This window comes from Homo sapiens, chromosome 7, assembly GCF_000001405.40.
Source record: "Homo sapiens chromosome 7, GRCh38.p14 Primary Assembly".
NCBI lineage: Eukaryota > Metazoa > Chordata > Mammalia > Primates > Hominidae > Homo > Homo sapiens.
In genome coordinates this window covers 66,196,014-66,217,546 of record NC_000007.14, presented here as the reverse complement: position 1 = coordinate 66,217,546, position 21,533 = coordinate 66,196,014, and the positions used below count along the sequence as shown (strand labels likewise).

General features: G+C 46.1%; 1 protein-coding gene across 13 annotated transcripts in view, besides 2 other annotated features; it reads right to left on the bottom strand.

The window, feature by feature from the left end:
- Positions 1–18,757, bottom strand: part of TPST1 (tyrosylprotein sulfotransferase 1) — a 161,654-nt gene extending 142,897 nt beyond the window's left edge. For 7 of the 13 annotated variants that reach the window (XM_017012726.3, XM_017012727.3, NM_003596.4 and 4 more), the window contains exon 1: positions 12,025–12,213. The gene's annotated coding sequence lies outside the window, so the exon portion shown is untranslated. Of the gene's footprint in view, positions 1–11,625; positions 12,214–18,587 lie in introns of those variants that run through there. The other 6 variants (XM_047420960.1, XM_047420962.1, XM_047420958.1 and 3 more) reach the window with 3 other exon arrangements.
- Positions 11,811–12,170: a silencer, noted in NCBI's record as "silent region_18205". NCBI's record gives its function as "represses an Ori minimal core promoter by ATAC-STARR-seq in GM12878 lymphoblastoid cells {active_cell/tissue: GM12878}" and the evidence as "EXISTENCE:reporter gene assay evidence [ECO:0000049][PMID:35858748]".
- Positions 12,321–12,590: a silencer, noted in NCBI's record as "silent region_18204". NCBI's record gives its function as "represses an Ori minimal core promoter by ATAC-STARR-seq in GM12878 lymphoblastoid cells {active_cell/tissue: GM12878}" and the evidence as "EXISTENCE:reporter gene assay evidence [ECO:0000049][PMID:35858748]".
- Positions 18,758–21,533: the final 2,776 nt, after the last annotated feature.

The window sequence follows — 21,533 nt, the reverse complement described above, 5'->3', positions numbered from 1 at the left end:
AAAGCAAAACAAAGGGAAAAGATATATCATGCAAACAGCAAACTATACAATGTCAGATACAATGCACTTTAAGACAAAAATTGTTACCACAAAAGAGACAAAAAAGACATTTTATAAGAGGGAAAATCCAACAATTCATCAAAAAAATACAATTATAAACATATATGCAAATAACAACAGAGCCCTAAAATACATGAAGCAAAAACTGACAGAATTCAAGTGAGAAATAGACAATTTAACAATAACAGTTGGAGGCCTCACTATCCCACTTTCACTAATGGATAAAGCAACTAGACAAAATATCAGCAAGGAAATAGAAGACTACAATACTACAAATCAACTAGATCTAACAAATATCTATACAAGCCTCCAAGCAACAATGGCAAAATATATATTGTTCTCAAATGACATGGAACTTTCTCTAGGATAGACCATGTGTTAGGCTTTCGAACAAGTCCCAATATATTTAAACCACTGAAAACATATAAAGTATATTCTCTGACCAAAATGAAATAAAATTAAAAAACAATAACCAAAAAAAAAGTTTGGGAAATTTACAAATATGTGGAAATGAAATACCACCCTCCTAAATAACCAATGAGCAAAAAAAGAAAACATTAGGAATATTACAAAATACTTTGAGTTGAAAGTACAAAACTCATGGGATGCAGCAAAAGCAGTGCTATGAGGGAATTTATAGCGTAAACACCTGTATTAAAAAAGATTGCAAATCAACAACCTAACTTTCTCCCTTAAGAAACTAGAAAAAGAGCAAACAGGGCTGGGTGCAATGGCTTACGCCTGTAATCCCAGCACTTTGGGAGGCTGAGGCACGCAGATCACGAGGTCAGGAGATTGAGACCATCCTGGCTAACATGGTGAAACTTCGTCTCTACTAAAAATACAAAAATTAGCTGGGCGTGGTGGCAGGCACCTGTAATCCCAGCTACTCGGGAGGCCGAGGCAGGAGAATCACTTGAACCTGGGAGGTGGAGGCTGCAGTGAGCCAAGATCGCGCCACTACACTCCAGCCTGGGCGACAGAGCAAGACTCCGTCTCAAAAAAAAAAAAGAAAAAGAGCAAACAAGACCAAAACCATCAGAAAGAAGGAAATAATAAAGACTACAGTGAAATAAATAAAACAGAAAATAGAACAGAGAAAATCAACAAAACCAAAAACTGGTTCTTTGAAAAGATCAGCAAAATTAACAATCTTTTAGCTAGACCGACCAATAACAAAAGAGAGAAGACTCAAATTATGAAAATCAGTAATGAAAAGGAGACGTAACTACCAACCCTACAAAAATAAAAGTGATCATAAACAAGCATAATCCAACAAAGTAATCTAGATAAAATGGACAAATTTCTAAAAGATACAAACTACTAATACTGACTCAAGAAAATATTAAAAATCTGAATAAATCTATAACAAAGCAAGTGAAAGAGTAATTTAAAATTTTCCACAAAGAAAAACCAGGACATTGGCCGGGCGCGGTGGCTCACATCCCAGCACTTTGGGAGGCCAAGGCGGGCGGATCACAAGGTCAGGAGATCCAGACCATCCTGGCTAACACGGTGAAACCCCGTCTCTACTAAAAATACAAAAATTAGCCAGCCGTCGTGGCGGGCGCCTGTAGTCCCAGCTACTTGGGAGGCCGAGGCAGGAGAATGGCGTGAACCCAGGAGGTGGAGCTTGCAGTGAGCCGAGATCGTGCCACTGCACTCCAGCCTGGGCGACAAAGCGAGACTCCGTCTCAAAAAAAAAAAAAAAGAAAGAAAAAGAAAAACCAGGACAAGATGGCTTCACTAGTAAATTCTATCAAAAGTTAAAAAAAAAAATTGACACTAATTCTTCTTAAAAATATATATTAGGAGGCTGGGCGCGGTGGCTCACGCCTGTAATCCCAGCACTTTGGAGGCCGACGCGGGCGGATCACGAGGTCAGGAGATCGAGACCATCCTGGCTAACATGGTGAAACCCCATCTCTACTAAAAATACAAAAAATTAGCTGGGCGTGGTGGCAGGCACCTGTAGTCCCAGCTACTCAGGAGGCTGAGGAAGGAGAATCGTGTGAACCCAGGAGGCAGAGCTTGCAGCGAGCCGAGATCGCGCCACTTCACTCCAGCCTGGGCGACAGAGCAAGGCTGCATCTCAAAAAATATATATATATACATATATATAATATTAGGGTCAGGTATGGTGGCTCACACCTGTAATCCTAACACTTTGGGAGGGGAGGTTGAGGTGGGCAGATCATGAGGTCAAGAGATGGAGACCATCCTGGCCAACATGGTGAAACCCCGTCTCTACTAAAAATACAAAAATTAGCCGGGCTTGGTGGCACGTGCCTGTAGTTCCAGCTACTCAGGAGGCTGAGGCAGGAGAATGGCTTGAACCCGGGAGGCGGAGGTTGCAGTGAGCCAAGATCGCGCCACTGCACTCCAACCTGGTGACAGAGAGAGACTCCATCTCAAAAAACATATATATATAAATATATTTAATATAATATAGATTAATATATTAAATATATATTTAAAACATATTAATATTTATATAGTTAATGCATATATCTTATAAATTATTTAGTGTAATATATAATATATATTATATAAAATGTATATCTATAAAAATATATATTTTAACCAATAAAAATATACATATAAATATATAATACATATTTAAAAACATATTAAATGCATATTATATATTTATATATATATTTTTGTTGGTGGCTTTTTTTTTAGGCAGGGTCTCACACTGTCGCCCAGGCTGGAGTGCAGTGGCAGGATCTCGCCTCCCCTCCCAGGTTCAAGAGATCCTCCTGCCTCAGCCTCCCAAGCAGCTGGTACTACAGGTGTGTGCCGCCATGCCATGCTAATTTTCATATTTTTTTATAGAGACGGGCTTTCATCATGTTACCCAGGCTGGTCTTGAACCCCTGGGCTCAAGCAATCTGCCTGCCTTAGCCTCCCAAAGTGCTGGAATTACAGGCATCAGTCACTGCACCAGCAACACCAATTCTTAACGACACTTCCGAACTCATTACATATACAGCCAATTTTAGTTGGATTTTGAAACCAAAAACACTACAAAAATAAATTGCAGCTCACTATTTATAAATAAATATAATTTATATTTATACTTATAAATACTTTAAAATTACAAAAAAATTAGTAAATATTAATAGTTAATATAGGGTAATAGTATATATTACTCTAAAAATGAAATAAAGGAGGACAATATTATATATGATTGTCTTTATTATGTGCTCAAAATAGATATTTCTATTCTATATAATATGAATCTATAAAGACAGAAAATAGATTAGTGGTTGCCTAGGGATGGAGAGGATGAAGAGTAGGAGAGTTGAGGATAATGGCTAAGGAGTGTGTGGTATGGTTTTTTTGTGGGTAGTAAAAATGTTCTAAAATTGATTGTGGTAATGATGTACAACTATATGAATATACTAAAAGTAAATGAATTTTACACTTTAAATGGTTGAACATGTGGCATGTGAATTATATCTCAATAAAGCTGTTATGAAACAAAAGGCAGGCTGGGAGCTACATGCTCCTTCTCAGGTGACTGTCTACTAAAACATAAAGTTTAAATATGATCTATAACTCCTAATATCCAAAATGTCCAAGATACAGTCAAAAGTCATTCATCGTAGCAAGAACCAGGAAAACCACAATTTGAATGAGAAAAGACAATTAACAGATGCCAACAACAGGATGAATCAGATGTTGGAATGATCTGACAGAGATTTTAAAGTAGCCATTATTCTTTTTTTTTTTTTTTTGAGATGGAGTCTCACTCTGTCTCCCAGGCTGGAGTGCAGTGGCACGATCTCCGCTCACTGCAAGCTCCGCCTCCTGGGTTCGCGCCTCAGCCTCCCAAGTAGCTGGGACTACAGGCACCCGCCACCAAGCCTGGCTAATTTTTTTTATTTTTAGTAGAGACGAGGTTTCACCGTGTTAGCCAGGATGGTCTCGATCTCCCGACCTCGTGATCTGCCCGCCTCGGCCTCCCAAAGTGCTGGGATTACAGGCGTGAGCCACCGCGCCCAGCCTATTGTTTAACAAGCCATTACATACACTCTTTAAACAAATGACAAAATAGAAAATCTCACCAAAGAAGTAGAATAGACAAAAAACCCAATAAAAATTATAGAACTGAAAAACAACCAAAATAATAACTCGGTGGGTTAGCTCAACAGCAGAATGAATATAACACAGGTAAGAATCAATAAACTTGAAACAAGAATTACCCAATCTAAACAACAGACAAAAAAATAAGACTGGAAAAAAATTAAAAGAAAATAGTGCCTTACGTCCTGTGAGACAGTAACAAAAGATCTAACATTCAGTCACAGAATGAAAGGAGACAGAGAGTGGTACTGAAAAATTATTCTAAGAAGTGACTGAAAACTTCTCAGATGTGGTAAAAGACAAATCTGCAGCTCAAGAAATTAAGAGAACTCCAAACAGAAAAACCCAAAGAAATTCGTGCAGACACATCATAATTTAACTTCTGAAAACTAAAGACAAAGAAAAAACCTCTAAAGCAGTTGGGGAGAAAGGATGTTACCTATAAGAAAATGAATTCTAATGACAGGGTTTCTTATCTGAAAAAAGTTTCTCAACATTTCTCAAATGTTAAAAGCAAAGAACTGTCAACCACAAATCCTATAAAAAGAAACAGCTGACAAAATCTTAAGAAAAAACAAAGAACAAAAGATTCCATGGTTTATATCTAAGCCCTGAGAAATCAGAAAATAGAAAATGCACTGAGGTCGGGCGCAGTGGCTCACACCTCAGCACTTTGGGAGGCCAAGGTGGGGGAATCACTTGAGGTCAGGCGTTCGAGACCAGCCTGGCCAACATGGTGAAACCCCGTCTCTACTAAAAATACAAAAATTAGCTGGGCCTGGTAGCGGGAGCCTGTAATGCCAGCTACTTGGGAGGCTGAGGCAGGAGAATCTCTTGAACCCGGGAAACGAAGGTTGCAGTGAGCCGAGATCATATCATTGCACTCCAGCCTGGGCGACAGAGTAGGACTCTGTCTCAAAAAAAAAAAAAAGAAAAAAGAAAAGAAAATACACTGATATCAATATATGAGCAATCACAGGTGCTTCCTACAACAGTGCTTAAATACATGGGAATTATTTATTTCTTCCTACCCATCACCAATCCCAGTGAGATTCATTTAGGTATAGGGCTTGCTTAAGGCATATTCCTTACTTCCTTAATTTTCTTAGTTAAAAAGAAATTGTTATGCCACTGTTCAAGATCTTTTATCAAATTGACAGTTTTTGTTCTAGTTAAAAATTCCAAAGCTCATGAGCCTAAAATCAAGAGCTATTTGTTTTAAAAAGATACAAGATCGATATACCTTAATCGTATGAAATAAAGTCTATTTTAAATAGTATCTTCTAAAGACAAAGCCTGAATAAACCTCTGTAGTAACTGTCACAGCTTAACCACCTTAAAAGCCAAGACATTACAGAGCAAATAATATTTATATTAATCCACTCTAATTTATAAAGATTGTTTCGGGGTTTTTTTGTTTGTTTCTTTTTGAGGCAGAGTCTTGCTCTGTCGCCAGGCTGGAGTGCAGTGGTGCAATGTTGGCTCACTGCGACCTCCGCCTCCCGGGTTCAAGGGATTCTCCTGCCTCAGCCTCCAGAGTAGCTGGGACTACAGGCACCCACCACCATGCCCAGCTAATTATTGTATTTTTAGTAGAGACCAGGTTTCACCACGTTGACCAGGATGGTCTCCATCTCTTGACCCCGTGATCCCCCTGCCTTGGCCTCCCAAAGTGCTGGGATTACAGGCATGAGCTACTGCGCCCGGCAAGACTGTGTGTTTTTAAAACAAGAATGACTACGCATATTTGACCAGTGACTTGTTAAGCAGGAAAGAAAGAAACAGCTGGTCAGTTTGCAAAATCATGAGTTCAAGCTCTGTTTTATATCACTTATCAACTGATTTATTCAACCAACTTTTATCAAGTTTCTAAAATGTATCAAGTACTGTGCAAGGCAGTGATGAAAAGATAAATAAGGCATGGTTTCAGACTTCAAGGAATTCCTTAGCTATAAAAATGGACCAGCCGGGCGTGGTGGCTCACACCTGTAATCCCAGCACTTTGGGAGGCTGAGGTGGGCAGATCACCTGAGGTCAGGAGTTCGAGACCAGCCTCAATATGGAGAAACCCCGTCTCTACTAAAAATACAAAATTAGCTGGGCGTAGTGGTGCATGCCTGCAATCTCAGCTACTCAGGAGGCTGAGGCAGGAGAATTGCTTCAACCTGGGAGGCGGAGGTTGCGGTGAGCCAAGATCGCGCCATTGCACTCCAGCCTGGGCAACAAGAGCGAAACTCCATCTCAAAAAAAAAATAAAAATAAAATAAAAATAAAAATGGACCCAGCAGATATAATTTAAATAAAATGTGATAACTCCTTTAATAGGTAAATGTACACAGTACCAGGAAAGCAAGAAACTATGTCAACAAAGGCAATATTTATCCTGGTGTGTGTGTGTGTGTGCGCGCGCGTGTGTGTGGCAGACAGACAGACGGTCTCACTCTGTCACTCAGGCTGGAGAGCAATGGCATGATCATAGCTCACTGCAGCCTCAAACTCCTGGGCTCAAGCAATCCTCCTGCCTCAGCCTTCTACATGGCTGGAACTACAGGCATGTGCCATCACATGTGCCTGGCTAGTTTTTTCCTATTTTGTAGAGACAGGGATCTTGCTATGTTGCCCAGGCTGATCTCAAACTCCTGGTCTCAAGCAATCCTCCCACCTCAATCTGCCCAAACTCTGGGATTACAGGTGTGAGCCACCACACCCAGCTGTCCTGATATTTAAAGGATGAGTTACTACTATTGTTCTTCAGGGTTCTATCACTCCCTCTTTGGGCTCTCAGCCCAGTTCTCAGTCCTAGATACCTATCACCATCTCATGGGAAGCATCTTTAAAGTAACAAGGTCTGGCCCTGCACCAGACCAAATGATACAGAATCCCTGTGGATGCCTCGATCCCCCATCCTCATTCTTTAAAAGCTCCCCAGGTGGTTTTTAAGTAGTGCCTATGTTGAAAATCACTGAACCAGGCAATCTCACCTACTTCTGATGACTTCACTTTCAATTCTAGCACAGACCCTCCATATATATCTCCATCTTTAGGGCCAACTGCTCTCTCAGGCGATTTCCTGGGCATCAAGATGTTATCATTGGCTTCCTCCTTTTCCCTCAAAATTTGTTTATTTTCCTGTATTTCCTACCTGGATGAACAGAACCACCATTACCCAGACACCCAAGCCTGAACTCAGTATGTCATCCTTGACCCTTCCTTCTCCCTCTCTCTCACCTATACACCTAACCAGTTCTCCTTACTCCACAAATTCACTCCCAAATCTAACCCCTTAGCCTCACTGGCCTCATTATCTTTCACCTACATTCCTATAATGACCACCTATTGGTCTTTGTGCACCTAGTCTTGCCCCTCTCTAACCTGTTCTCTACAATGCTACCAGAGATCAGAGTAATTTTTCTGAAAATACACCTGGGGCCAGGCGCAGTGACTCACACCCATAATCCCAACACTTTGGGAAGTCAAGGCAGAGGGTTACCTGAAGCCAGGAGTTCAAGACCAATCTGGGCAACATAGCAAGACTCCCATCTCTAGAAAAATAAATAAACATAATCAAAATATACCTGGTCACAATACTCATTCATGTTACCTGCCAGAGTAGGGGATGCAGACATGAATCAAAACCCATCCTGATTTCAAAGCCCTACCCTTAGAGTAGAGAAAGACATGTAAACAAGTAAATGACAGTAGAGATGAAGAGACATGGATTGCAGGCAGATGTGGGAATGCTTTACTGCAGAGATAACCAGAAGCCTGTATAATCTACAGGTGGCTAAGTGGGAAAACGCATTCCACGGAGAAAGAGAAACATAAAGCCATTTAGGCATGTTCAGGTAATAGAGGTGATTTTATATGGCTGAGGCAAAAGGCAAGGCATGCAGCAAGACACAAAGCCTGAGATGGGAACAAGCCAGACTTTGTAAGATCTGCCCAGGAAGAAATCCTTCAAAGGTTCCTCGCTATCATCAGGATTATGTGTTAGGACACACAAGGTCATTCATGAGCGGCTCCCATATACCTTCCCAGCCTCATTGCTCATTATGCCCATTCTCCAGCCTTTCCAAATTACCAGTTCTTTCCCAAAAGCACCAGGTTATCACACATTTTTCTTTTTTCTTTAATTTTGAGATGGAGTCTCACTCTGCTGCCCAGGCTGGAGTCAGCTCACTGTAACCTCTGCCTCCCAGGTTCAAGCGATTCTCCTGCCTCAGCCTCCTGAGTAGCTGGGATTACAGGCGCCCACCACCACGCCCGGCTAATTTTTGTATTTTTAGTAGAGATGGGGTTTCACCATGTGGCCGGGCTGGTCTTGATGGTCTTGATCCGTCTGCCTCAGTCTCCCAAAATGCTGGGATTACAGGCGTGAGCCACCGCGCCTAGCCTAAGACACACTTTTCCATATGTTACCTTCTCTTCCAAACTGCCCATCTCCCCTTACCTTTCCTTGTCTAGATTCAGCTCTTCTGAAAACTTAGTTTACTGAGCACTATGTACTTGGCAATTTGCTAGAAACTGGAGATACAATGAGATATGACACAACTCTTTCTCTTAAAGGGTTCACTCTCAAGTCAGTGAGAAAAATAAGAAAACAGAACATTATAAATAGTAAAAATGGGCTGGGCACAGTGGCTCACGCCTGTAATCCCAGCACTTTGGGAGGCTGAGGCAGGCAGACTGCTTGAGGTCAGGAGTTTGAGACCAGCCTGTCCAACATGATGAAACCCTGTCTCTACTAAAAATACAAAAATTAGCTGGGTGTGGTGGCAGGCGCCTGTAATCCCAGCTACTCGGAAGGCTGAGGTACGAGAATCACTCAAACCCTGGAGGCAGAGGTTGCAGCGAACTAAGATGTTACCACTGCACTCCAGCCTGGGCAACAGACCAAGACTGTGTCACAAAAAAAAAACTAAAAATGGTATAAGTGGTAAAAATGGAGATGGAAGTATGTACAGGGTGCTGTGGAAACACAAAGAAAAGTCACCTAACCCAAACTAAGGAGGAGGGGTAGTCAGAAAAAGTCCTAGGTGCCTGTAGACAGAAACTTGTCCTCACTCTCACCAGGGTGATGCTCCCAGAGCACCCTGTAGTCATCTCTGTCACAGTCTTGATTTTACGGTAGTGAATGGTCTGTTTCTTTACTGCTTTTTTCTCTGGATCACAAAGGGCCCAGGAAGGGGATGCGCCCATGCTACAGAAGGCTTGGAAGGACTGGCTCAACATGCTAAGGGTTTGGGAGCTGATGAGAATTTTTAAAGAAAACAAGCAGCATGATCAGATTGATAGTTCAGAAATGGAACCAATTCCAGCAGCAACGTGGAGGATTAAGTAGACTACAGGACCCAGAGGTTCAGAAAAAGCATAACCAAGGTCTGAACCAGTCTTCTGGCAATGAAGAGAGAGAAAAAAAAAAGATGTTATGAAGAGAGGAAAAAAAAAGATCTGAGGTAGCAACAACAATAGGATCTATGCTAGACTTAATGTGAGGAGAAAAGAAGATGATTTTAAGGTTTCTAGAGTAAAGATCTTAAAATAGTAATGTTTGTATATGTGCTTAAAGGGGGCTATGGGTGGAGAGAAAGGGAAGGAAAAGGTAACCACATTTGAAGTAATCAAGCATCCACATACAGCTATGCAGTAGGCAGATGAAAATTAGAACCTGAGGTTCAAGAGAAACGGGGACTAAATAGACGTCTTTGAAAACCATAAATATATAGGTGCTATTTGAAGCCATGAAAGGAAGTGTAATCACACAAGGAAATTAGAGAAAAGAACAAAAATGAAACCCTAAGGAATGCCACGTTAATCTGAGAAGAATAAAAAAAGAAAAGGGAAGCATCAAGAAAAGCTTTGTTTTGGTCTGAATGGTGGAAACCTGAGGATGTATACCATCCAACAGAAAAAATAATAATATGGGAAGAGATCAAAGACGTTAGCTTTCGAAAGTAAGACCCCTCTTCTTCTGAGATCAGAGGAAAGGATATTAGAAATCAGGTACAGACAGGCACAGACAAAAATGACCTCTCCTTAAGAGTTCAGGGCTGATGCCCACCAATTTATTCTGTGAAGTTAAGTGGCAAAATAAGCAATGAAGAGAAGGCAAGAGTAGGACAAAGAGTCAGAGAAAAATGGTAAAGATCCATAAACAGCCATTTAGATTTTAGGACATAAGAGGAATCTAGAGGTTAAGTCAAAGGATCTCCAGGATCCAGAAGTGCAGAAACAGCACCCAGCAGTTTAGTTATATGATTTTTGCCAGTCTGCCTTGGGAGCCCAGGAGCAGAAAAAGCTGACTGATTCGTCCAGGCTTGAGACCATCAGAGCAAAGGTGGCAAGAATAGTACAGGGCCAATGACAATGCTTTTATCATTTTAAAAAGTCAAACGTATTTTACTCTTTTTTAAAAATCGACTCGCTATTTCCTCCAAGAGCGAGTGTTTGGAGAGGGGGAGGGAGAGGGGTGGATAATTCCTCTCTCACTCTTAGAGGACTTGTCAGAAGTTTCATTCTTAAGCATATTTGGTCTGTACAGCAGCTGATTCCAGGAAATCCAAATCCTGATTCCTCCTGGATCTTAAAAGATGAAAATTCATTGCAGCTCCCTGGACTATCCAGCTAATAGATAAACACGTACCACATTGCTTATATACTATGCCACTTTAGCTGGGAGGTAGGGGCTCTTTCTTTCCTAAAAAGAAAGTTACCCAAACACTGCAGATGGGGATGGAGAGGGGATGGGGAGTAATTACACCGCAAAGCCTGCTGACTAGCAGCCTAAGAATCCTTTACAAAGGCAATTAACATAAAACAATACATGGCACGGATAGCAGAATTGTTTCTTCTTAATGAATGCAGTAATTGACCATTTAATCGCTTTACTGGAGTTCACCAATTTCTCCTGCCATCTCCCATACCATTCTTCAGGCAGAGTCAAATCCCTGTGGACACTGGACTTCTTGCTACCATCATCTGGAAAGTACAAAACGCCTGGAAGGAGGAAGAGGCTAACATGCGTGACCACCCACCATGTGCCAGGCCTACTGTGTGCTAGACTCTGGGCAAGGGACTTTACATGTTATGGGGTGCAGCTCATGTAAGGACGAATGAAGATATTACACTATGGATCTGAGCCAGGCGCAGTGGCTCACGCCTGTAATCCCAGCACTTTGGAGGCCGAGGCAGAAGGATAGCTTGAGGTCAGGAGTTCGAAGCCAGCCTGGGCAACATAGAGACTCCATCTCTCAAAAAAAAAAAAAAAAAAAGCGATGAATCCGGCATTGCAGAGAGTGGGAAAGTGTCTGGAGGTTTAAGAGTAAGAGAAGGAAGAGGAGATTGCGATGGTGGGTGGTCAAAGTGAGGGGAGAAGAGGCGAGTTGGGAAAGGAAGGTGCTTAGGAGCAAAAGGGCAAGACCCAGGGACACCTGGAGCGGGGCGGGCGACTGCCATGCAGACAGGACTACGTACAACGGGTAGGATGATGGGGCGATGAGCTCAAGAAGCGCAGCCGGGGTAGACGTGGGGGCAAATGTCCGATCCCGGCGAGACGAGGGTCTCATCCCAGGGGACTGCGGGGCTAGGACGTGGTCCCAGGGCTGCGAGAAGGGAGAGAAAGGGCAGAGGGGAGAGGCCCCGGCGGCCGGGGCGAAGCCGAGCCCGGGAAATGCCGGCGATGGGGGAAGGGGCGTGGGAGCAGGGGCCGGACGGGCCAGACCCGGGGCTCCGCGCTCGGGGGCGGGGTTGGACAACCGGGAGGCACCGAGCAGAAGGCGACAAGGGGCCAAGGGATGCCAGGACGGGGCACAGGGCCGGGTGTGAGGAGACGAGAGGGGAGCGGAGCCGCAGCGAGCGCCGCGTCCCCCTTACCTGGGATGAGTGAGGAGCCGCCGCGCCGCCTGGACGGCATCCTGGCCTCAGCCGCTGGTCCCACCGCCTTCGGTGGGGGGCCACTCGGGAGCCCGCCCTCACCGCCAAGCGCCGGCAGCTGCCAGCCTGGACCGGCCCCGCAGAGCAGCGCCGTTCCGACCCGCAACCGAAGCCGCCTCAGCAGCGTCTCCCGCGGTCGCCAACTCAGCGACAACCGCCAGGGTCCGGGGAGGTGGCGGGATCACACATCTGCTACGATTGGCTGAGCGGACGATGTGTCGGCTGCTCTGATTCGTGAGTTCCGGCCGGCTGCCCACCGAAGGAGGCGCGGCTGGGAATGGAGCTGGGTCCGGCAGGCGCCGAGGGGCGGGGGTCTGACGTCGCAGCCGGCCAGCGCCCCCACAGCCCTTCCCGTGCGCGCTCCCGAGGGGGCTTCCCGGCAGCCGCAGGCCTGGCCGGGTGGTTGCCCTAGCAACAGCGCGCGTGGCCTGGCTGCAGGGGAGCCGCGGGCAGGTGGCGGTCCTCACCGCCCCCACCCCCAACGTGGGTGTCCCAGAGGCCTTCATCAGTGAAACCCTAGGACAGGAGAAGAAAATGAGCTTTTCCTGATAATTCCTCTCCTCTGCTTCAGAGCCCACCTTTGCCCGCTGCTGGCAGAGAAGCTGTCATCTCCTCGGGGAGATAACGCGCAAATGCAAATAACGAACTCAAACACTATTTCATCCCCACGAGAGTGTAGACGTGCAATAGTCCCTCCCAACCACAGAGGTGGGGGGCTGACGCCCTAAAAGAAAGAAATGAAAACTAGGGAGAAAAAGGCAAAGAAGCAAAAGAAAGGTGGGGAAAGGGCAGATATTTCACAAAATGATCCATTCATTTTACAGTTTCTTCCTACAGACACATCTACACCAGGTTCTGTCAAAGCAATTATTTCTACTCCAGTGACATGGATTAGAGAAGGCATGAGTGCAGAATCTAACAGCTGTATTCAAAATTGCTCTCTGCTAGGCCAGGTGGGGTGGCTCATGCCTCTAATCACAGCACTTTGGGAAGCCAAAGCTGGTGAATCACCTGAGGTCAGGAGTTCGAGACCAGCCTGGCCAACATAGTGAAACCCCGTCCCTGCTAAAAATACAAAAATTAGCCGGGCATGGTGGCGGACGCCTGTCGTCCCAGCTACTGGGGAGGCTGTGGCAGGAGAATTGCTTGAACCCGGGAAGGTAACTACCTTCCTTTGCACACAGTATAATATTTTCAAAGTTCATCCATGTTGTAGCATGTATCGGCACTTCATTCCTTGTTACGGCCGAATAATAGTCCATTATACAGACATCACCTTTTTTTTTTTTGAAGAGTCTCACTCTGTCTCCCAGGCTGGAGTGGAGTTATGTGATCTTGGCTCACTGCAACCTCCACCTCCTGGGCTCAAGTGATTCTCATGCCTCCGCCTCCAAAGTAGCTAGAATTACATGCATGTGCCACCATGCCTGGCTAATTTTTATATTTTTAGTAGAGACGGGGTTTCATCAAGTTGCCCAGGCTGATCTTGAACTCCTGGCCTCAAGTGATCTGCCTGCCTTGGCCTCCCAAAGTGCTGGGATTACAGGCATGGGCCACCGTGCCTGGCTGGACATCATCTTTTATTTATCCATTAATCCATTGATGGACATCTGTTTCTACTTTTTTGGCTATTATACATGATGCTGCTATGAACATTTGTGTAGAAGTTTTTGTGTGTGGCCGGGTGCAGTGGCTCACGCCTGTAATCCCAGCAGTTTGAGAGGCCGAGGTGGGCGGATCACAAGGTCAGGAGATCGAGACCATCCTGGTTAACACGGTGAAACCCCGTCTCTACTAAAAATACAAAAATTTAGCCAGGCATGGTGGCTGGCGCCTGTAGTCCCAGCTACTCGGGAGGCAGAGGCAGGAGAATGGCGTGAACCCGGGAGGTGGAGGTTGCAGTGAGCCAAGATTGTGCCACTGCACTCCAGCCTGGGCAACAGAGTGAGACTCCGTCTCAAAAAAAAAAAAAAAAAGAAGTTTTTGTGTGGACCTCATTTGATCTTTACAGCAACTGTCTAAGGTACATATGATATCTCCTTCTACAGATAATCAGCTGACTGGGTGTGGTGGCTCACGCCTGTAATCCCAGCAGTTTGGGAAACCCAGGCAGGAGGGTCCCGTGAGCCCAGGAGTTCTAGGCTGCAGTGAGCCATGATGGCACCACTGCACTCCAGCCTGGGTGACAGACTGAGACCTTGCCTCTCACCCAAAAAAAAAAATAATAATTATATATATGTGTGTGTGTGTGTGTGTTTGTGTGTATATGTGTGTGTGTGTATATATGTGTGTGGGTGTATACACACACACACACAGAGATAGATAAGAAAACTGACTATAAGATGGTAGACAGCAATTTTGTTGTTTGTTTGTTTTTGTTTTGAGATGGAGTTTCGCTCTTGTTGCCCAGGCTGGAGTGCAATGGTATGTATGACCTTGGCTCACTACAACCTCCGCCTCCCGAGTTCAAGTGATTCTTCAGCCTCAGCCTCCCCAGTAGCTGGGATTACAGGCGCCTGCCACCATGCCCAGCTAATTTTTTTGTAGTTTTATTAGAGACAGGGTTTTGCCATGTTGGCCGGGCTGGTCTCAAACTCCTGACCTCAGATGATCTGCCCGGCTCCACCTTCCAAAGTGACGGGATTACAGGTGTGAGCCACCGCGCCCACCTTTTGTTTTGTTTTTAGAGACAGGGTCTCACTATGTTGCCCAAGCTAGTCTCGAACTTCTGACCTCAAGCGATCCTCTAACCAGTCTTTTAATGTTAAGCAAGGGCCAAGTTACATTCTGCTTTCTACATTTCAGACCTCTTCAGGAAAAGGACTCACCATGGCCTCAGTAATACGGAAGCCACCACCGGTGCACAGCCCCTGCCAGGCTCTTTCCACAAAGTAGAGATGGAGATCTGAGATAACCTCCCACACTGCCCAGAAAATCCTTCCCCCACCTATAAGACCTAGAAAAAGAATTGAGTAGCCACATAGGGAGCTGACACTGGTCCTCCTAGCACGTATTAAACTGTGAGAACGAATTCTAGATGTGGGGAATTCAGTAAGAAGAAAGGACACGATCCTTTCAGTGAAACCTGTCATACGGCAGGATGTCTCACTGAGCAGGACAGCTTCAGGTGATCCGGGGACTACACTCTGAGGCAGAAGTAAGAAGCAGGGTCCAGCCTCTGACAGGGTCCAGCCTCTGAGGCAGAAGTAAGAAACAGCTTGATCTGAAGCAAAGCTCAGGGTTATTGAGAACAAGATGAACTTTTCCTGCTTTCTAAATCTGCCCCAACACATATAGTATATGTGCTAGAAGGAAAAAAAACTCCAAAATATACTCAAGTGAAAAGAACAAAGTTCAAAACAGTGTGTATAATATACCCATTTGTATATATTTAAAATACACATACACACACACTTGTTATTTTCAGAGGAAATATCAAGAAAGATGCACACATTAAATTGGTAACAGTGTTGTCTCTGGGAGGGAAACTGAAGGACTTGGGCACAGGAATAGGAAAGAGACTAATTCTTTGCTATGTACTCTTGGGCACCTTTAAAAATTATGTGCTATATGCTTGGATTACCTTTTTTTTTTTTTTTTCTTATTTTAATAGGCAGGGTCCCATTCTGTCACCCAGGCTGGAGTACAGTGGCATAGTCATAGCTCACTGCAGCCTCAAACGCCTGGGCTCAAGTGATCCTCCCACCTCAGCCTCCTGAGTAGCTAAGACTACGGGTGCACGCCACCCACTCCCTGCTAATTTTTTTTTTTTTAGACAGAGTCTCGCTCTGTTGCCCAGGCTGGTGTGCAGTGGCATGATATCGGCTGACTGCAACCTCTGCCTCCCAGGTTCAAGCAATTCTCCTGCATCAGCCTCTCGAGTAGCTGGGATTACAGGTGCCCACCACCACGCCCAGCTAATTTTTGTATTTTTAGTAGAGACAGGGTTTCACCATGTTGGCCAGGCTGGTCTCGAACTCCTGGCCTCATGTGATCTGCCCACCTTGGCCTCCCAAAGTGCTGGGATTTCAGGTGTAAGCCACCGTGCCCAGCCTTTTACTTTTTTTTTTTTTTTTTTTTTGGTAGAGATGGGATCTTGCTATGTTGCCCAAACTGGTCTTGAACTCCTGGGCTCAAGCAGTCCTCCAACGCTGGCCTCCCAAAGTGGTGGGATTATAGGCATGAGCCATCACGCCTGGCCTGGATTACCTATTTACAAGGAATGAATACATAACTTTTTTTTAAAGGAAAACTTGTTCCTGAAAAACTGTCCAAGACTGTATGCACATCTGATTCACACCACATTTCTATTCCTCTGTGTAATTTAATGAGCCTCATAGATTCTGAACACTCTTTCTGCGTTTCTATTTTCTCTCCCGGGCTTTACCTTTCCAGGTGATCAGCCCAGAATTAGATCACCTCACCAGAGAGCATCAGCCAGGTATGGTGGCTCACACCTGTAATGCCAGCACTTTGGGAGTCTGAGGAGGGCAGATCACTTGAGATCAGTAGTTCGAGACCAGCCTGGTCAACATGGTAAAACCCAATCTCTACTAAAAACACAAAAATTAGCCAGGTGTGGTGGGGGCACACCTGTAATCCCAGCAACTCGGGAGGCTGAGGCAGGAGAATCGCTTGAACTCAGGATGTGGAGGCTGCGGTGAGCGGAGACTGTGCAACTGCACTCCAGCCTGAGCGACAGCGCAAATCTCTGTCTCAAAAAAATTAAAAAAAGATAACCTCGGTCGGGCGCGGTGGCTCACGCCTGCAATCCCAGCACTTTGGGAGGCCGAAGCGGATGGATCATGAGGTCAGGAGATCAAGACCACCCTGGCTAACACGGTGAAACCCCGTCTCTACTAAAAATACAAAAAAATTAGCCGGGTGTGCTGGCGGGCGCCTGTAGTTCCAGCTACCCGGGAGGCTGAGGCAGGAGAATGGCGTGAATCCCGGAGGCGGAGCTTGCAGTGAGCCGAGATTGCGCCACTGCACTCCAGCCTGGGTGACAGAGCGAAACTCCATCTCAAAAAAAAAAAAAAAAAGATAACTTCACCTGTGTATAGATGGCTTTGCCCCATCTTCAGGCAATTCAAAGGGCTCACAGCCTGTTTTCTTCCAAACAGCCTACGCAACCCTGGCAGAGCCCAGAAGAGGAGAAAATGGGCCAGTGCTTGCTGCCATCCCAGTGAGAGCTGCGAGTCTCTCTCCTCTAGGTCAGCCTTTGCACCGCTTCTACCTTGGGAACTCACCTCTAGAGAAGACCTGGCCAAGGATGAGTGAGGACTCCTTACTACAGCAACCTCACCTCCTGGAGGGAAAGTCTATGCAACATACCTAGGAATGTGCAGGCTTTGAGAACTGAAAAGGCAGCATTGTCCTCCAGCACTTTTCCTTTGGGGGTTGTTGGATTGCTTTGCTCTTAAGAAGGACACAGGCCCCGCGCAGTGGCTCATGCCTGTAATCCCAGCACTTTGGGAGGCCGAAGCGGGCAGATCACGAGGTGAGGAGATCAAGACCATCCTGGCCAGCATGGTGAAACCTCTGGCCAGCATGGTGAAACCTCCTCTCTAAAAATACAACAATTAGCCGGGCATGGTGCCGCGCGGCGGTAGTCCCAGTAACTCAGGAGGCTGAGGCAGTCAGATTCCTTGAACCCAGGAGGCAGAGGCTGCAGTGAACCGAGATAGTGCCCCTGCACTCCAGCCTGGGCGACAGAGCGAGACTCTGTCTCAGAAAAAAAAAAAAGGGACACAAATGCAGCAAAGCTCTCTTCATGGCATTTTCATTCTCGGGTCTGGCACGGAGGGAAGATGGTGGCAGAGGTGGGAAATGGCAGAGATGGGGAGTCCCTCAGAAATGAAAAATTTGAGGCCAGGTGCAGTGGCTCACGACTGTAATCCCAGAATTTCAAGAAGCGAGGCGATCAGATCACTTGAGGTCAGAAGTTCGAGACCAGCCTGGCCAACATGGTGAAACCCCATCTCTACTAAAAATACAAAAATTAGCTGGGTGTGGTGGTGGGCACCTGTAATCCCAGCTACTCGGGAGGCTGAGGCAGGAGAATCACTTGAACCCAGGAGGTGGCGGTTGCAGTGAGCTGAGATTGCACCACTGCACTCCAGCCTGGGAGACAGAGCAAGATTCCATCTCAAAAAAAAAAAAAAAAAAGAAGGAGATGAATGTGTCTGTCACAACCAGCAGCAACTGGCCTGGCACTGGATGGATGTTTGGATGGACGGATGGACAGGTAATGAATGGCTAGATGAACAGCAAACACTGCAATTGTCAAAGAAGGCCAGCAGGGCACGGGAGCCAGGAGCCGGGACCCAGGGAGAACAGGAGGACACTTGGGTCACTCAGGGTCCTGCCAGGAAAGGCCAGGGAGACTCCAGGAGAGGACTCCAGAGCCAAAGATCTTTGACGGAGAACTGAGAGTTAAGCTTTCACTCCACCTAAAGTGACCTAAAAGCCCTGGCTAATTTGGGATGAGATGAAACACTTACCTGCATACAGCATCAGAGAGTCAATGGCCTGCGGGAAGCACCTCACAGTTCTCTTGAAGCTTCTGGGATACAGGGATTTAAGGCAGAAAGAAAAGGGTGATACAATTTAAAGAAAAAGAAAAATGTGAGCAGGACTCCTGACTTTCTCCACCCCTAGATCCTGGAAAACTGGGCAGGTCAGGCCCCTCAGCCACATCATCATTTGAAAATGAAAATTCAGCCCAGCCTATGAGCAGGCATTTTCCAAGTGGCTACAGAATTCCTGCACCTTCCAAAAATACCTCTTCATGCAACTCCTGCCAGGGAGAGAGGGCCACATGCCCAGGCTGGAGCCGACCAACTGGGCTTCCTGAACCCGGGAGCTGCCACCATGTGCTCTGCAGACCCCAGATTCAGGAAATGTCCACTGCTCCATAGGGAAACCCAGACAGACAGCTGTGCTGTGTTCCAGGCTGAGAGCAAAGCATCCTCTAGTTTTACTTATGACCAAGGAGATTGTAAGGCTTCCAGGAATGTTTTCTAAACCTCACCATGCATCTAAACTACCTGCATAGCTTAGTAAAGTAAACACCAGCCTCTCCGCAGTTTTAGGAAGCAGATGATCTGGGAGGAACTCCCCACAACCCCCACAGTGAGATGGGGTGGGCTAGTGATTGACGGGCAGCATTAGGGTGTCTTCAGAGAGACTGGCTGGTGATATGCTGTTTCTTGAAATGGGAGCAATTAGCTGGTTTATTTACTTTGTGAAATTTCATCAAGCTACATATACATGTGGGCTTTTCTGTATTTTTTTAAATTTTATTTTATTTTTCTTTAATTGAGACGGGGGTTTCACTGTATTGCCCAGGCTGGTCTTGAATTTCTTGGGCTCAAGTGATCCTCCTGCCTCAGCTTCCCAAAGTGCTGGGATTATAGGAGTGAGCCACCATGCCTGGTCTTTTCTGTATGTTTGTTACACTTCATTTAAAAAGAATAATAATAATAGAACTATGCGAGGTGGTTCACGCCTGTAATCCTAGCACTGTGGGAGGCCAAGACAGAGGATCACTTAAGGCCAGGAGTTCCAGCCTGGGCAACATAGAGAGACCCTGTCTCCACTTAAAAAAAAAAAAACAAAGGTCAGGCACAGTGGCTCACGCCTGTAATCCCAACACGTTGGGAGGCCAAGGCATGAGGATCGCCTGAAGCCAGGAGTTCAAGACCAGCCTGGACAACATAGGGAGATCCTCAGCTCTACAAAAAAATTTTTAAAAATTAGCCAGAATGGGCCAGGCACGGTGGCTCACGCCTTTAATCCCAGCACTTTGGGAGGCCGAGGAGGGTAGATCACGAGGTCAGGGGATCGAGACCATCCTGGCTAACACAGTGAAATCCCATTTCTACTAAAAATACAAAAATAAAATTTGCCAGGCATGGTGGCGGGCGCCTGTAGTCCCAGCTACTCGGGAGGCTGAGGCAGGAGAATGGCGTGAATCCAGGAGGTGGAGCTTGCAGTGAGCCGAAATCATGCCATTGCACTCCAGCCTGGGCGACAGAGCGAGACTCTGTCTCAAAAAAAAAAAAAAGTTAGCCAGTGTAGTAATGCATGCCTGCAGTCCCAGCTACTTGGGAGGCTGGGCAGGAACATCTCTTGAGGCCAGGTGTTTGAGACCAGCCTGGACAACATAGTAAGACCCACTCTCTACAAAAATAGTTAACCAGGTGTGGTGGTGTGCACCTGTAGTCCCAGCTACTTGGGAGGCTGAGGTGGGAGAATTGCTGGAGCCCAGGAGTTTGAGACTGCAGTGAGCTGTGATCATGCCACTGCACTCCAGCCTGGGCAACTGAGGAAGATCTGTCTACAAAAAAAAAAAAAAAAAAAAAAAAGGGCCAGGCACAGTGGCTCACTCCTGTAATCCCAGCACTTTGGGAGGCTGAGGCAGGTGGATTGCCTGAGGTATGGAGCTCGAGACAAGTTTGGCCAACATGGTGAAACCCTGTCTTTACTAAAAAATATAAAAAATACAAAAAAATTAACCGGACATGGTAGCGTGCACCTGTAATCTCAGCTACTTGGGAGGCTGAGGCAGGGGAATTGCTTGAACTAGGGAGATGGAGGTTGCAGTGAGCTGGGATTGCACCACTGCACTCCAGCCTGGGCGACAGAGTGAGGCTCTGTCTCAAAAAAAAAAAAAAGGCTCCCCAATAAATTCTGTTCCTCTACCAGGTTTGAGAACTGCTGAGTTGGAGATATAGGATGAGGGGCTTAGATTACACTAAAGAGGGGCGCTGGGTGCTTCTAAGCACCTAGCTTCTAAGTATGGGGTGGAATAGTTCCAGGGGTATGCCTTCCCCTCTTAGGCAAGTCTAGGACTCTCAGAGTGGTGAGAAGCTCCAGGAAGGAGAGGCTGAGTGGGAGGTGCTTCAGGGAGCAGCTGGCCCTTCCCTGTCCACAGATGCTGACCAGTGACACCAGCGCAGACCAGGACTGACTGCCACACTACCCTACCTGCACCCTACCCCTTGGACGGCCTGCTTAGGCCCCTGGCGACCTGCTTCAAGAGTGCCATTTCCTCCTGTGGCTTAGCTTTCCCTCCCTGGTTAAAGAGGCTGGAAGGGGCCAGGTGCAGTGGCTCACACCTGTAATCCCAGCACTTTGGGAGGCCAAGGCAGGCAGTTCACTTGAGGTCGGGAGTTTGAGACCAGCCTGGCCAACATGGTGAAACCCATCTCTGCTAAAAACACAACAATTAGCCAGGTGTGGTGGTGGGCACCTGTAATCCCAGCTACTCAGGACGCTGAGGCAGGAGAATTGCTTAATCCTGGGAGGCAGAGGTGGCAGTGAGCCAAGATTGCGCCACTGTGCTCCAGCCTGGGCAACAAGAGTGAGACTTTGTCAAAAAGGAAAGAAAAAAAAAGGGTGCAGTGGCTTACACCTGTAATCCCAGCACTTTCAGAGGCCAAGGC